General features: G+C 42.9%; 1 protein-coding gene and 1 long non-coding RNA gene across 5 annotated transcripts in view; one reads left to right on the top strand and one right to left on the bottom strand.

Moving 5' to 3' along the window:
- Positions 1–958: 958 nt before the first annotated feature.
- THAP6 (THAP domain containing 6) overlaps positions 959–17,545 on the bottom strand; it is a 33,421-nt gene continuing 16,834 nt past the window's right edge. For 2 of the 4 annotated variants that reach the window (XM_047449652.1, XM_006714109.5), the window contains exon 5: positions 3,322–5,878. In XM_047449652.1, coding sequence (XP_047305608.1) covers positions 5,774–5,878 — 105 coding nt within the window. In that variant the 3' untranslated portion in view covers positions 3,322–5,773. Of the gene's footprint in view, positions 1,314–3,321; positions 5,879–8,327; positions 8,429–17,545 lie in introns of those variants that run through there. The other 2 variants (NR_133920.2, XM_005262774.5) reach the window with 2 other exon arrangements.
- Positions 7,727–8,428, top strand: LOC124900717 (uncharacterized). The gene is made up of 2 exons (XR_007058142.1): positions 7,727–7,832; positions 8,255–8,428. It is a non-coding gene; the product is annotated as an uncharacterized LOC124900717 (long non-coding RNA).

The raw sequence follows: 17,545 nt of genomic DNA, 5'->3' as shown, positions 1-17,545 counted from the left end.
TGTCTCAAAAAAAAAAAAAAAAAAAAGCGTCTGTGGAAGGATGGATAAGGGGCGAGCGCTGTGGAATGTCAACAATGGGGAAGTGAGATTTCCACATCTGGGCATGAAGGCCTGGTTGGCAGTGTGCCAGGAGCCTTGTGTCCAGAGCAGCTTTGTTGGGGGAGAAAGGACGAGGTGAGCAGATGAGCCGGTGGGTAAGGCACAGTTTCTGTTGACCCACATGGGCTCTGCATTCTCTGGCTTGCCCTGTTTTACCACCTGTGACCTCCTATAATAGCAGGCCCTTGAATAACAAAGTTTTGTTATAAAGTTGATGAGGGGGAAAAAAAGTTGATTTCTGGCTCGGGCCGCTGTGTGTGTGGAGTCTGAGTGTTCCCCCCAGGTCTGCATGGGTCTTCTCTGGGTGCTCTGGTTTCCTCCCACTTTCCACAGCTGTGCAGGTTAGGTGAACCGGCGTGTCCACGTGGTCCCAGTGTGAGTGAGTCTTGCTGTGTAAAGGAGCTTGCCCTGTAATGGGATGGTGTCCTGGCCAGGGCTGGTTCCCACCTTGAACCCTGAGCTGTCAGGACAGGCTGCGGCCACCGGTAATCCTGAACTGGAATCATTGGGTGAATAAATAACTTACTCGTTTTTATTAATTTTTCTTAAGTGTATGTAGAGCTCACATTTATTTCAATGTTTAATATTAGAAGTGTTTTGGCTCTGATGTTTACTACTTTATGTAGTAAGGTTTGGTAGTATTTTTATGACCAGAAATATGCGGTAGAATCTTAACTCCTGTTTCTATCCATTAGCTTATGGTAAAATTGGTTTCTTTATAGTTATTTCGTTTAAAATCGTGGTTTCCAAGAAACTGCTATCAACGCTGTTAGTGAGAACTTAGACTGAAATTGTGTTTTGTGTATGCCCTCCCTCTCTGAACGTTGGGACCCTTGATGGCAAGAACAGAGTCTTTTAATTTTTTTTCAAATTTATTTTAAATTGTGGTAAAATATACGTAACATAAAATTGACCATTTTAACCACTTTTAAGTGTACAGAAGAACCAAATCTTGATTAGTTTTAGCCCCAGGGCTTGGCACAGTGACACTCAGCAAATAGTTGTGAAAGGCATGGAGGAGGAGGGAAGGGAGAAGGGTCTGCCCCTGTACCTGCATGTTGACGCACCTGGTTGTCCAGCAAGTCTGCGTCAGGGAAGGACTTGGGGGCAGGAGGTGGCTTTACCCAGGGGTCTTTAGCTCTCTTGGTTGTGCCCTGCTTTCTGGATTTGGGCTCAGGGCAATCTCATCTCTTCTTTTTTCTCCTGCTCACACCCTGCAATGATTAATTTGATGTGCCAACTTGGCTGGGCTTTAGTACCCAGATAGTTGGTCAAACATTATTCTGGATGTTTCTGGGAGGGTGTTTTGGGATGAGGTTTATATTGAAATCAGTGGGCTTTGAGTAAACGGATGGCCCTCTGTAATGTGGGTGGGCCTCATCTGATCAACTGAAGGCTGGAATGGAATCAAAGACTGAGCTTCCCTGAGTAAGAGGGAACTGTGCAGCAGACAGCTTTTGGACTGGAACTGCAGTATAGGCTCTTCTCTGAGTCTTCAGCCTGCCTGGCCTACCCTGTAGATTTTGGACTTGCCAGCCTCCGTAACTGCATGAGGTACTTCCTTAAACTAAACCTCTCCTCTCCATATACTCACCCTATTGGTTCTGTTTCTCTAGGGAATCCTAACACATGCCCATATTCTTTCTCTGTCATGCTTAAATGTGTTGCTTGACAGGTTTAGTGAATAAATACATAGGAAAAGATTTGAGAAATCAATTGCTTCTAAATAAGAGCTTGGGTGTTTATGGACAATGAAGGGGCATGGACAGTGCTCCTTGACTGGAGATGTGTGGGAGGACTAAGAATTTCAGGCTGCTGTGTGAGCACTGAACTGCCTCTAACACAGACACTTCAGAAAGGTGCTGGTGAAGAGAGCAATCCCTCCGTCTCAGGATGGAATGTCCTTCACCCAGAGGCTGAACATCGGGATTTTGGGGAGAATCTCATAGTGACTTCCCTGCTTCAGTCCCCCTCTTCTCAGTCTCTCTTTCCCTCTTTCCTGGTGGTTTGAACATGTGTTTGGAATTTCAGAGAGCTCAAACTGAAGACACTGGGTTTGGATACAACGAAAATGGTTTTTGCTAAGTAATTTGTTTCAGATGCTTAAATTGAGACCATCCTTCTGTATTAAGTGAGATGGAAGCTAGCAGCCTGAGAAGGAAAAAAACCCTAAAGATGAAACCTCTTAGGCCAGCAATGTCAGAAAGGCTAGGCTTTCTAGCTGTCCACACGCAGTTCTAGGGTGGGCCCGCAGAGCTGCCTCTCACACCCTCAAGGGCCCACTGGAGGTCTGTCTGAGGCTGGATCAGCTTCACCTGCTTCTTTTATCATTCAAGTTCTGCTCAGAGAAAGGCCCTGTCCTGCTGCTGGGCCTTGAGGAAGCCAAGGTGAGCTGCTGGTAAGTCCAATTAGGCTAGTCTCCCATCTGTGGTCACAACTGCGGACGCTGCCTGGGAGAGGCATTCTTCTCACAGAGCCACGGTGAGTAATCCGGGGAAGCTGCTATTTGGGCTGCCTCAGCCAGGATTATGTGTGTCAGGGAGGATGGGGAGTGGTGGGCACCCCTGAGTCAGGTTGAGGGAGGTCTAGGGCTGCTTGGGGTTCTCTGTCAGAAGCACCACAAAGGGACAGGTGCTCTTTTGGGGGATCTAAAGATTCTGCGGTTGGCACTGACTTGAAGGTGGCCTAGATGACTTCCTGCAAGGCTTGCTTAGGCATCTTCTGCTGGGATTTCTCCTAAAAGGGGGTTCAGGCACCTTAACCACACCTCTAGTTCCTTCAGTTTGCAGAGCAGGAGCCTGAGGCCTGGAGAAGGTTCCTAACCTCATCCTGGTGATTTAGCAACAGAATGGCAGTAACATCCCGGTGAGGGGCAGAGTAATGCCCACGTCAACAAGAGCCTGCATTCATCGATGGTTTGAAACAGAGTATTAAACCAGTGGGGTGAATCCGCGCTGTGCTCTCTGCCCTGCCATTGTTTAGCTGCAGGACCTTGGACCAGTCAGCTTCCCTGCCTCTCAATTTCCTCATCTATGTTATCATTTACTATATCCTAAGCATCACTGTTCTAAGAATTGGACATACATTAAGTCATGTAATTCTTAAAACAACCCAATGAGGTAGTTACTATTGTCATCCCCATTTTAGAGATGAGAAAACCGAGGCACAGAGAGGTTGTCCTGTGGCTAAGAAGTGGCAGAGCCATGCTATGAACCCAGGCAATTTGGCTCCAGAATTCTTGATTTTAATTTCTATAGTAGGTGTGCTCTTGAGACTCTGGCTGTTGTCCTATTGCAGTGAGAGCCCTGTGATAGTATCCTTAAAATTCACCCAGGTTCTGTAGGGCAAAACACTTGGTTAATTTTTTTTCAAGGTAAAATAAATAATGGAGTGGGAACCTACAGATTAAAAGAGACTTTAGAGACATATCAACCCATTACAATGTTTGGAGGGAGATTATTGTTAAATGTTTTTAGATGAAACAGTGATATATACCTTTGTCTAAAAAAAAAAACAGAGTCCTAGGCCAGATGTGGTGGTGGGGACTCACACCTGTAATTCTAGCACTTTGGGAGGCCGAGGTTGGGGGGTATCACTTGAAGCCAGAAGTTTGAGACCAGCCTGGCCAACATGGTGAAACTCCGTCTCTACCAAAAAATACAAAAATTAGCTGGGCATGGTGGTGCACTCCTGTAGTCCCAGCTGATCAGGAGGCTGAAGCATGAGAATCACTTGAACTTGGGAGGCAGAGGTTGTAGTGAGCCGAGATTGCGCCACTGCATTCCAGCCTGGGCGACGGAGTGATGAGCCGAGATTGCGCCACTGCACTCCAGCCTGGGTGATGGAGTGAGACTCTGTCTCTAAAAAACAAACAAAAATTAAAAAATAAAGTCCTTATCTTTTAGAGATACATGCTGAAATAGCTACAGATTATATGTTGTTTGGGATGTGCTTCAAAATAATCAGAGGAGGGGAGAGAGTGAGGGTGTGGATAAAACAAGACTGTCCATGTTTTATAACTGTTGAAGCTGGGTGATGGATGCATTAGAGTATATTATACTCTCTACTTTTGTTTGGAACTTTCCATTATAAAAAGTGTTCAAAAAATCACCCTATATAAATGTTTGGTTTATTCTGAGAAATGTCAAAATGTCACATGGACCTACCTCATGGCTAGTGGGAAGAGCAATAGTCCACAGGGAGGGAGTGGATGGGACACTGCTAAGAAGAGTCAGCTTCCAAGAATGTAATTTACTGGGGGCGACCCATAGTGCCTATATTGTCTATCATGGCCATAACAAGGATAGAATACTTCTATGCTGTTCCCCTTGTTCTGGTAAACAAATGTACACGAAGCGATTTACTAACAAAAAATCTTCACTCTGCAGCTATGCTCTACCACTACAGAGCCAGCCTACTCTCTTCTCTCTGCTCCACTGCCATTATTTTGGCTTGCCCAGCCCAGTACCTATCCAGTTCTTCTGAGGACTTAACCCTGAGTTCCCTCTGGAAAACCATCATTTCTCTACTCTCTTGGTTCCAGGAATCGGCTGTAATCTATGACTGCCAATCATAGCATAGCATTCCTATGGCCACAGATATTTATTTAGGGTTGAGTATTTGACTCAAGCCATTTCAATCAGACTCAGTCCGAACTAGTCCTGGGACTGTCATATGAATGACTGGAAAGGAGGCACACATTTTGTCTTTGGACTTGAAGTTGTGAGGAACATACCTACATGAAGGGAGAGGCTGCTTGATAAAGCAGAGTTGAGAGACTCCAGATTCTGAAAACATCATTTGAACTCCTAGATCCAGCTGTACCTGAAGCCATACACAGTATGCCACAAGTGGTTTGCTAAAACTGGTTCTAAAATATTACTAATATACTATAGTAGCAAATCACATAGAGAATGAAAATTCTTAAGCCTAGTATTAAAATGGAGGAAGAAGAGCTATTAATTTTTTATGCTCTTGTATTTGATTATAGACTAGAGATGTAGACATAGAGTAAAAAATTGTGTCAGTTCCAGTGGCTGAGTAAAGCATTAGCAGAGATCAGGACCAATCTTTTATCATTCCATGCATTCTTCCTGAGAGCTGAGAGAAACCAGGTGACTAGACAGACTCCTTTGCTGGTGAGACCTGTGGATATTTGAATGTTTTGCCTGTGTATGTGGTAAGGTGACTTCATCCTGAGTGTGCATCTGCCCTGTTTATGCTTGGCAGTAGCATCAGACAGATCCAGATTGTGGTAATGAGTAACTATGGGCTTTCCTCAGCTTCAGACACAAGATGAGTTCACATTTTATCCTTCAGCCTCTAAATGCCCCAACTGGAGCTTCCAAATGGAGTGACTGAAGTCTGGCCTTTAAGACATTGTGAATGTTCAGCAACAATTCAACAATGAGTGAATCAAAGTCTCTGGGTCTCCAGAATAAATAAAAAAAGACAAAACAAAACAAAACAAAAGTCTCTGGCTCTTGCATTGTAGATCAGAACAAACAACAACGTGACTTCATATAATGATATGAAGACATCGTTATACCAGCTGTGAAACCTTGGGCAAATTACCTAGCTTTTCTCTGTTTAATTTCCTCTTCTGTAAAATGAGAATAATAATAATAGTACCTACCTTATAGGGTTGTTGTGAAGTTAAATGAGTTAATAAAGTTTAAGTGCTTTGAATAAAGATTGGCACCTTATAAATGTTAGCTATGATGGTTACTGAGAAATAATTTTTTGCCTTGAACAAACATTTCCTCTTGAACATGGATATCTGAAACAAAACACAGGCAGAAATACGAGGATTTATGAAAATTGCGATCAGCTCTATTAGAGCATGCAATACTTCCCAGATATCAGTACTCTGAAGTCACGTTCTTTAGTTTTCTGAGGTATTGGGTCAGTTGGAAAGCTGTATTGTGAGGTTCTCAACAAGGGATGGAGGCAGTCATTTGTAGGGTTCTGCTGGTGACCAGTCACAGGCAAGCTAATTAAAATCTTTAAAACACACCTACCCAGACAGTGGTTTCTTAAATCTCAAATAGTTGGGCTGGCAGGGGTTTGGGAGATTTCTTTGAAATATGTAGGTGTCACGGGAAATACTAGTAATTCAAGACTTACATCCAACTTTAGCCAATGTCCCAGGGGGATGATGAAGGTAATGATAACAAGTAATACCTCATTTTTCAGAGATGAAATGGTTTTGATTTTCTTTTTTTTTTTTTTTGGAGACAGTCTTGCTCTGTTGCCCAGGCTGGAGTACAGTGGTGCAATCTTGGCTCACTGAAACCTCCGCCCCTCTGCGCTCAAGCGATTCTCCTGCCTCAGCCTCCTGAGTAGCTGTGATTACAGGTGCCTGCTACCATGCCCAGCTAATGTTTGTATTTTTAGTAGAGACGAGGTCTTGCCATGTTGGCCAGGCTGGTCTTGAACTCCTGACCTCAAGTGATCCACCTGCCTCGGCCTCCCAAAGTGCTGGATTACAGGCATGAGCCACTGTGCCCGGCTGGTTTTGATTTAAATTTGTAGAATGCTGTTATTATAATTTTCTTTTCCTCCCTTCTTTCCTTTTTTTATTCTCCTTTCCTCCCTCCCTTCATCTCTCTTTCTTTCATGTGCACTCTCTGTCTCTGTTCCCAGGAAGTATATAACCCCCTCTCTAGAAGTAACCACTTTAAAAGTTTGCATATATCTTTTCTTTCTTTTTCTATATACTTACACACACACACACACACGTACACACTTATAAATTGTTTTGTAGGTAGGTTTCAAAACATTTTATATAAGTGAGATACTATTTTGAGTTGTGCTTTATATTGTTTTTATCCATGTTAAGGTCTTGTTTTCCCATGGCGATAATATGGATTGATGTCTTTTTGAATTGGTGCTTATTGTTTCATTCCATGGGCACGCCACGGTTTTATTTATCCATTTACTGCTTGATGGGTATTTGGGTTGCCTTCTACTTTATGCTTTCATGAACAGTCCTCACGTAGCCCTCACGTGGCACATACAGAGCCCCTTTGCTATCAGGTACATTTAAAAATAACTTACTAAAATGGTTTTTAGTTTTAATATATAGAATACATTTGCATTTCATCCTAAAATTTACCAGTCTTTATGGTGTCCTGGTGAGTTTGATCCTTTGGATAGCCATGTCTTGTTTCTGGTTACACCATTTTCCCATGTGATTTTCAACAAAATATGTCCAGATGATGGTGATGGCCATAGAAACTTGAATTGTACATCTCAATAATCAAGACATTCCCTACTCTTAAGACCCATCTACAAGTGTTATAATAAGAGTGACAATCCAAAATTTTTTTACATCCTCAGGATTTCAAAGGTAATTTCTTTCAGCTGTGTAGCCTGGCAACATTTTATACCGTTATAAAATCTACCTGTTTAATAAGCACCAGTATCCTTATTTTTATTGAAATTTTATGTTGAGTACATTTTACTGGCAAGTCTGTAGCTGAATGCTTGTCTCCATAAGGTACTAATCACTAGTATCTGTGGTTAGCATCCTGCATAGCACATACACTTCACTCTTTATTTAATAAAACTCTTCTGTTTTAAAAAGCACAAGGCCCAAATCTGCAAATTCAGATGCGATATTACCTTTCAACTGCACAAGCTGTACCACAAGGATTTGAGAAGTTTATTATTGGACACAAATCTGTCAGGAACTCCTCTGCTGTTAACTGACCACAGAACATGGAGCTCAGGTGAGTTCAAGGATTATCTGTTTAGTAAGTGACTTGATGCTCTGAGACACTGCTACACAAAGTAGCTAGCCTATGAACTCTTTCTGACTGGTTCAGAATGAGAAAAAGCTCTTGTTCCAGAATGTAAATCAACATATGATTTCATTTACTAAGGAAGTCTTGCTCAGAAAACATTCTGACTGAAAAAAAAATTGACTGAGCTAAATGGTGTGCTTTGTGATGTAGTCGATCTACATTCTGCTCCAAGTGCCTTGATTTGTATACACTGATCTGGGAACATTCTAAGTAACACTGTCAAGATGTTTTATAAAGTTGAATGAACGGGTGAATGAACGAAACATATCTAAGATAGATTAAATGGCTTGTCAGTATTGGAGTGAGAGGATGAAGAGGAGGATGGTGATTGAAATTTTCCCTTTCAGTGATACAATGTTCCTTGCCTGCTTCTGAGCTGCCACAAGAGAGGGAAGATTATTTAAGGCACAAATAGCCTACCTGACCACTGTTGCCTGTCCACTTGCCATTCCCTATGAAATGCATTTCTCTCTTCTTGGTTTTTGTTCTTCTTCCTGTTCTTGTTTCCTTTTCCTGTGTTTCTGGGATGGGATGGAATTTAAAGAAGAAAGAAAAACAGTATGTGGATGGCTCATTGTATGGTCTACGTTTTATACGCAATGAAATAAAATTCTCACCACCAATGGGTAAGGTGCTATTGTCTACTTTGTAAGTGCTCAGAGAAGTTCAGCAAGTTGACCCACTTCCCATATATAATGAAGTGGGAGGCTGGGAACTTGAACCCAAGTCTGTTTGGTTCTCCCCAGCTGGTTTGGTCTCCTACTCTCACATCCCAGGAAGGTGCTTACATAATCCAGGTTCTGGGACAGCACTTTCAAAGTGCCCACACTGACAAACTTATGTTCTATTTTGTAATTTTGAAGCTCCATTAATTTCATAGTTTCAGTACCTTTAATTGCCACAGACCCTGCTATATTGCCCACTTATCTGTATTTGTGTTATGTACTTGTATGTCCCTGTAGGTTGTGAATGTCTTCACCTTATTCCTGTTGTTCTCTCACACTATCGTATGGGGCTTCGAAAGCAGTATATGTGATGGGTTATTACACTAAACATGTTAGTCTGTAAACTTCTTCATGTACCTGAGAAGACAGATATAAAATGATAGACCCAAACACTTAAACTGTAAGATGCTGTGGTATAAATCTATTGAGCCATGTGTGTTGTCCAATAAAGTAGTGCACAATGAGGAGAAAGGCATTAGGCTGAATTCAAGAACCCATTGTCTTGAGATATATGGCTGCGCTCCCTGGTATCCTTGGAGTATGGCTTTTGGAACTTCATACTAGCATGTAATCTCCTTGAAGACAGGAAGTGAATCTATGTTGTTTCTCCAATGCCTAGCATATTCCCTGGCATACAGTTCCTGGCTCCTGAAAAATACGTGTGGAAATGTTGAATGTGCTAGGTTCTCAGCATTTCTTCCTCAACTGCTGTGACTAGTGCTCATCATGGACCCTCATGTGGTTCTTAGATTACAAATTGTAGGTCTTCTGCTCTTGGGTTTCCTGGTCCTAATCTAACATTTTCTTCATTCGTTTCAATCTCTGTCAGCTCCTGCTCTGCATCAGGCACAATTCTATGATCAGAAGCACAGCTAGCAGGAAGGTGAGGGATGTGGCAGCAGGGGGACAGTTGTTTATCTTGAGCGTGTTCTCCAAAGGGAGCTGTGACAGTTGTTAAAATATTAAATGAAGTTTGAGGCAGCAATGTGAAAGTAAAATAATGAGACCTATGAAGAGGGTAGTCAACAAGAGGCATCAATGGCTCAGGCGCTACCCAGGCTTGCCTTTAGGTTTTAGAAACCTGGCTTCCCTCTTCCCATTAGTCCAGTGGAAGAGCCAATTATACCTCTCATCTTCCTAGGGATAGAATATTTTTTCTTTTGGCCAGAGAATCAGGCCCTCTACAAGTAGAATTTATCTTCTCAGGCACAAGCCAGGCTTCCCTGGCCCACTCCAATGACATTCTTATGTTCCTGTTTTTTTTTTTTTTCACAATACTGAGGCTGTGAAACACAGGGCTTCCTAGTTCAGCTCACCTTTATCTGTTTTTGAGACTCTCAAATCCTACAATCTGGGTCATGTACGTAATTTCCTGTTTTGGGGCACTGTATGTGCATGTCCAGAGTCCCTTGCTAGAGGAATATGACACTTTTTTGAGTGTTTCAGGATATTTTTTAATGCTGTCTCCCAAACTGGGCTGTCTACTCATGTGCCATGCCCTACCTGGCTCATCATAACAAGCTAGAACCAGTCTTTCCTTTAGATTCTCTCTTTGCCTCTTGTTATATTTGACTAACTTTGCAGTTGCTCCCACTTCTTGGCTTGGTTCTCTGATATTGTCTTAGCCTAGTATTAGTTTCCTATTGCCATTGTAACAAATTACCACAAACTTAGTGGAGTAAAACACAACACAAATTATCTTACAGTTGTTCTGGAGGTCCAAAATCTAAAATGGGACAGCAGGGCTGCATTCCCTCTGGATGCTCTCTGGGAGACTTCATTTCCTTCCCTTTTCCAGCTTCTAGAGGCTGTCCACATTCCTTAGCTCATGGCTATTCATTACCACAACCTTTGCTTCCATAGTCACATCTCCTTGGACGCTGAGTCTCCTGCCTGTCTCTTGTAAGGACTCAGGTGGAGAATCCAGGATAATCTTTCCATATTTTAGATCCTTAATTTAATCAAATCTGCAAGCTCTCTTTCACCATGTAAGAAACGTGATCCTATTAGTCCATTTTCACACTGCTGATAGAGACATACCTGAGACTGGGCAATTTACCAAAGAAAGTAGTTTAATTGGACTCACAGTTCCACGTGGCGGGGGAGGCCTCACAATCATGGCAGAATGCAAGGAGAAGAAAGTCGCATCTTAAGAGGATGGTGGCAGGCAAAGAGAGAGAATGAGAGCCAAGCAAAATGGGTTTCCCCTTATCAAACCATCAGATCTTTTGAGACTTATTCACTACCATGAGAACAGTATGGGGGAAACCGCTCTCATGATTCAATTATCTCCCACCGGGCCCCTCCCACAACACATGGGAATTATGGGAGTACAATTCAATATGAGATTTGGGTGGGGACACTGAGCCAAACCATATTAGTGATATTCACATGTTCTAGGGATTAGGACCTGGACATCTTTGCAGGGGGCATTATTCTTTCACAGTCCCCGTTAGTTTTGGTGCCCCCCCTAGACTTCTGAGACCACGTTCTTCTCCCTGCAGGACTGTTTTCAGCTCTGCCCATACTCATATTTTTTTTTGACAACACTTGTATAAATTTATCTATTTCTTCTTGCAGTTCTGCAAGTTTTTGCATATGAATTTTAAGCTTTCTAATTAGGTGCATAAATATTAGGACCGTATATCCTCTTAATTGACCCTTTCATCATTGTGAAATAACCCTCGTTTTCCCTGTTTATATACTTTGCTCTGAAATCGATTTTGTCTATTATTACCCCAACTTTCTTTTGATTAGTGTTATCACAGGGATATCTTTTTCTATCCTTTAACCTACTGGATTCTTTGTATTTAAACTAGCTGTGGCCAGGCGCAGTGGCTCACACCTGTAATCCCGGCACTTTGGGAGGCCGAGGTGGGCAGATTGCGGGAGGCTGAGGTGGGCAGACTGCGTGAGCCCAGGAGTTCAAGACCAGCCTGGGCAACATGGTGAAACCTTGTCTCTACAAAAAATACAAAAATTAGCTAGGCACGGTGGTGCACACCTGTAGTCCCAGGTGGGAGGATCGCTTGAGCCCAGTAGGTGGAGGTTGCAGTGAGACGTGATCATGCCACTGCACCAGTCTGGGAGACAGAGTGAGACCCTGTTTCAATAACTAACTAAATAAAATAAATTAAAAATGAAGTAACTGTCTGTATCCAGCATATGATTGGGCTTCTCTCTTTTTTTTTAGATGGAGTTTTGCTCTTGTTGCCCAGGCTGCAGTGCAATGGCATGATCTCAGCTCACCGCAACCTCCACCTCCCAGGTTCAAGCAATTTTCCTGCCTCAGCCTCCTGAGTAGCTGGGATTACAGGCATGCACCACCACACCTGGCTAATTTTGTATTTTTAGTGGAGATGGGGTTTCTCCATGTTGGTCAGGCTGGTCTTGAACTCCCGACCTCAGGTGATCTGCCTGCCTTGGCCTCCCAAAGTGCTGGGATTACAGGCGTGAACCACTGTGCCCAGTCTGGGTTTTACTTTTTAATCCAGTCTCACAATCCCTGCCTTTTAATTGGGATTTTTAGATCACTTGTGTTTAATATAATTATTGATATATGCATTTTAGAAAAACCCCTCTGGAGATAGACTGGAAACAGGGAGACCAAAGACTTTCTTGCAGTAATCAAGTTAACAAATAACAGCTTAAACCAAGGAAATGGTCCTAGAGATTGAGTGGGAAAGGGGCTGTATCTGAGAGATGTTAAGGGTATACAATCAATAGAAGTGGAGCTAGGACAGAGAAATTTGTCAGTTATGATGTAGGTACCCAGGTAGATTGCAATGTACAGAAAGGCATTGTTTTAGATGTCTGGATAGTTTTGCAGACTGCCTGGTATTATACCAGCTCATGTCTGATTTTCCATCTTTACCCAGTTTATGCTGAATCTAATGCAAAAGGTACAAAAAGTACCTTAGTACTTAGTACTAAGTAAGCACCATAGTAAGTTAACATATTATATTAACTATGGTTAATACCATAGTAAATCTCCAACATACAACAGATCTTTGGGAAATGCATCTTTTCATAACTAGAGGGACCTGCTAGAGCAGTTTTACTCTGAAGTTGGTTGACATATCACTAATTCTTCATTACTGAGAGCATTAGATTACAGAGTAACTCTGGGTTAGAGCAGAATAGAAAGAAGTGAGTGCTAGGGAGTTCAAAAAGATGATGAACTCTGAGGTACAGAACTCCCTTCAGGAACAAAGGACTTATTCCTCCAGCTGCTGGGAGTGCTCCTGAAGACAGACCTCAGCCTTCTTCAGAAATTGCTTCAGTTGAACTGCCTTGCTGGATGGCATGCCCTCTTCATGGGGCAGCCCTCATCAAATAACTGGTGATACAAGTGTATAAAGGCATAGCTTCTGATATGGTTTGGCTCTGTGTCCCCACCTAAATTTCATCTTGTAGTTCCCCATGTGTTGTGGGAGGGACCCAGTTGGAGATGAATGAACCATGGGGGCAGGTCTTTCCTGTGCTGTTCTCATGATAGTGAATGGGTCTCATGAGATCTGATAGTTTCTTAAAAAACAGGAGTTTCTCATACGTGTGCATGTGTCTTTATAGCAGCCTGATTTATAATCCTTTGGGTATATACCCAGTAATGGGATGGCTGGGTCAAATGGTATTTCTAGTTCTAGATCCCTGAGGAATCACCACACTGACTTCCACAATGGTTGAACTAGTTGACAGTCCCACCAACAGTGTTCCTATTTCTCCACAACCTCTCCAGCACCTGTCGTTTCCTGACTTTTTAATGATCGCCCTTCTAACTGGTGTGAGATGGTATATCATTGTGGTTTTGATTTGCATTTCTCTGATGGCCAGTGATGATGAGCATTTTTTTCATGTGTCTGTTGGCTGCATAAATGTCTTCTTTTGAGAAGTGTCTGTTCATATCCTTTGCCCACTTGTTGATGGGGTTGTTTTTTTCTTGTAAATTTATTTGAGTTCTTTGTAGATTCTGGATATTAGCCCTTTGTCAGATGAGTAGATTGCAAAAATTTTCTCCCATTCTGTAGGTTGCCTGTTCACTCTGATGGTAGTTTCTTTTGCTGTGCAGAAGCTCTTTAGTTTCATTAGATCCAATTTGTCAATTTTGGCTTCTGTTGCCATTGCTTTTGGTGATTTAGACATGAAGTCCTTGCCCATGCCTACGTCCTGAATGGTATTGCCTAGGTTTTCTTCTAGGGTTTTTATGGTTTTAGGTCTAATATTTAAGTCTTTAATCCATCTTGAATTAATTTTTGTATAAGGTGTCAGGAAGGGATCCAGTTTCAGCTTTCTACATATGACTAGCCAGTTTTCCCAGCACCATTTGTTAAATAGGGAAACCTTTCCCCATTTCTTGTTTTTGTCAGGTTTGTCAAAGGTCAGATGGTTGTAGATGTGTGGTATTATTTCTGAGGGCTCTGTTCTGTTCCATTGTATGTTTATTGCAGCACTATTCACAATAGCAAAGACTTGGAACCAACCCAAATGTCCAACAATGATAGACTGGATTAAGAAAATGTGGCACATATACACCATAGAATACTATGCAGCCATGAAAAAGGATGAGTTCATGTCCTTTGTAGGGACATGGATGAAGCTGGAAACCATCATTCTCAGCAAACTATTGCAAGGACAAAAAACCAAACACTGCATGTTCTCACTCATAGGTGGGAATTGAACAATGAGAACACCTGGACACAGGAAGGGGAACATCACACACTGGGGCCTGTTGTGCGGTGGGGGGAGGGGGAGGGATAGCATTAGGATATATACATAATGTAAATGACGAGTTAATGGATGCAGCACACCAACATGGCACATGTATACATATGTAAGGAACCTGCATGTTGTGCACATGTACCCTAGAACTTAAAGTATAATAAAAAAAAATTTGAAAAAAAGGAAAAAAACAACAACAGGAGTTTCTCTGCACAAGCTCTTTTTGCCTGCTGCCATCCATGTAAGATGTGACTTGCTCCTCCTTGCCTTCCACCATGATTGTGAGGCCTCCCCAGCCATGTGGAACTGTAAATCCATTTAACTTCTTTCTTTTGTAAATTGCCCAGTCTCGGGTATGTCTTTATCAGCATTGTGAAAATGGACTAATACAGCAAATTGGTACCGAGAGTGGGGTGCTGATGGAAAGATACCTGAAAATGTGGAAGCAAGCTTGGAACTGGGTAACAGGCAGAGGTTGGAACAGTTTAGAGGGCTCAGAAGAAGATACGAAAATGTGGGAAAGTTTGGAACTCCCTAGAGACTTGTTGAATGGCTTTGACTAAAATGCTGGTAACAATATGGACAATGAAATCCAGGCTGAGGTGGTCTCAGATGGAGATGAGGAACTTGTTGGGAACTGGAGCAAAGGTGACTCTTGATATGTTTTAGTAAAGAAACTGGCAGCATTTTGCCCCTGCCCTAGAGATCTGTGGAACTTTGTACTTGAGAGAGATGATTTAGGGTATCTGGTGGAAGCAATTTCTAAGCGGCAAAGCATTCAAGAGGTGACTTGGGTACTGTTAAAGGCATTCAGTTTTATAAGGAAAGGAGAGCATAAAAGTTCAGAAAATTTGCAGCCCAACTTGCAATAAAAAGAAAATCCCATTTTCTGAAGAGAAATTCAAGCCGGCTGCAGAAACTTGCGTAAGTAATGAGGAGCTGAATGTTAATCCCCAAGACAATGGGGAAAATGTCTCCAGGGCATGTCAGCGATCTTCAAGGCAGCCCCTTCCATCACAGGTCTGGAGGCCTAGGAGGAAAGTATGGTTTTGTGGGCCAGGCCCAGGGTCCCCGTGTTGTGTGCAGCCCAGGGACTTGGTGCCCTGTGTCCCAGCCACTCCAGCCATGGCTGAAAGGAGCCAACATACACCTTGGGCCGTGGCTTCAGAGGGTGCAAGTCTCAAGCCTTGGCAGCTTCCATATGATGTTGAGCCTTTGAGTGCACAGAAGTCAAGAACTGAGGTTTGGGCATCTCCGCCTAAATTTCAGATGTATGGAAATGCCTGGATGCCCAGGCAGAAGTTTGTTGTAGGGCCAGGGTCCTCATGGAGAACCTCTGCTAGGGCAGTGCAGAAGGGAAATGTGGAGTTGGAACCCCCACACAGAGTCCCTACTGGGCACTGCCTAGTGGAGCTGTGAGAAGAGGACCAACGTCCTCCAGACCCTAGAATGGTAGATCCACCAACAGCTTGCACTGTGAGCCTGGAAAAGTCACAGACATTCAATGCCAGCCCATAAAGGCAGCCAGGAGGGAGGCTGTACCCTGCAAAGCCACAGGGAAGGAGCTGCCCAAGACTATAGAAACCTATGCCTTGCATTAGCATTACCTGAATGTGAGACATGGAGTCAAAGGAGATAATTTTGAAGCTTAAGATTTGCCTGCCCTGCTGGACTTCAGACTTGCATGGGGCCTGTAGCCTCTTTGTTTTGGCCAATTTCTCCCATTTGAATGGCTGTATTTACCTAATGCCTGTACCTCATTGTATCTAGGAAGTAACTAACTTGCTTTTGATTTTATAGGCTCATAGGCGGAAGGGAATTGCCCTGTCTCAGATGAGACTTTGGGCTGTGGACTTTTGAGTTAATGCTGAAATGAATTGAGACTTTGGGGGACTGTTGGAAAGGCATGATTGGTTTTGAAATGTGAAGATATGAGATTTGGGAGGGGCTGGGGCGGAATGACACGGTTTGGCTCTGTGTCCCCACCCAAATCTCATCTTGTAGCTCCCATAATTCCCATGTGTTGTGGGAGGGACCCAGTGGGAGAGACCCAGTGGGAGATGACTGAATCATGAGGGCGGGTCTTTCCTATGCCATTCTGGTAATAGTGAATGGGTCTCATGAGATCCGATGATTTGAAAGAAAAAAAAAAAAAAGGGGAGTTTCTCTGCAGAAGCTCTTTTTGCCTGCTGTCATCCATGTAAGATGTGACTTGCTCCTCCTTGCCTTCTGCCATGATTATGAGGCCTCCCCAGCCATGTGGAACTATAAGTCCATTAAACTTCTTTCTTTTATAAAGTGCTCAGTCTCGGGTATGTCTTTATCAGCAGTGTGAAAACGGATTAATATAGCTTCTTTGCCCTAATGCAGGACAAGTTTGGAAGGTCATCTGTGTTGAGGTCCCCAAGAGCACACACACAAGTTTCATGATTCACTAGAAGGACTCACAGAATTCGGCATATAGTTGTACTCAAGGCTATGATTATAGCAAAAGGATACAAAGAAGAAGCACAATCAGCTAAGGGAAAAGGCACATGGTACAAAGTCTAGAGGAAACCAGGTGTAGCTTCTGAGTCCTTCCTCAGTGTAATCACACAGGACACATTTAAGTCTTATAGTGCTGAACTGTGACAATACACGTTGCCTACCAGGGAAGCTCATTAAAGATTCAATGTTCAAGGTTTTATTTGGGGCTGGTCATACAGCCCCCCTTTACCTAACAGATTCTCAAATCCAGACTCCCAGAAGGAAACTGGGTGTTCTGCATAAACCACCTTGTCTGTACAAACAGTCTGGCACAGTGAGCTACTCTTATCAGTTAGGGAATGGTGGAATCCAAATTTCCAGATGCCACTCAAGAACTAACCTTGCAACCTTGCAGGCCTTTCCAAGGATAGCAGTTTCATGCCTATGTTAACTCATTTTTGTGTATGACCCCAGTTTCAGAGTTTTCTGTGGGGCTCACTGAGGTGCTACCTTTACAGACATACAAGATAGACATGAATGGTGGCCTCCACCATCTCTCTTCATTTAATTCACCATTCTGTCCCCTGCAAAATTTAGACAGACCCTGCAAGATGACAGTTGGACTAAGGACAATTCAACCAACGAGTAGCCCTGATTACAGCTGCTATGCATGATGTGGCATCTTTGTTAGAGCAGATTAACATGTCTATGGGTAGATGCCATACAACC

Source organism: Homo sapiens, chromosome 4 (assembly GCF_000001405.40).
Source record: "Homo sapiens chromosome 4, GRCh38.p14 Primary Assembly".
Lineage (NCBI taxonomy): Eukaryota > Metazoa > Chordata > Mammalia > Primates > Hominidae > Homo > Homo sapiens.
The sequence above is the reverse complement of the archived record's forward strand: the minus strand, read 5'-3'. Positions and strand labels throughout refer to the sequence as shown.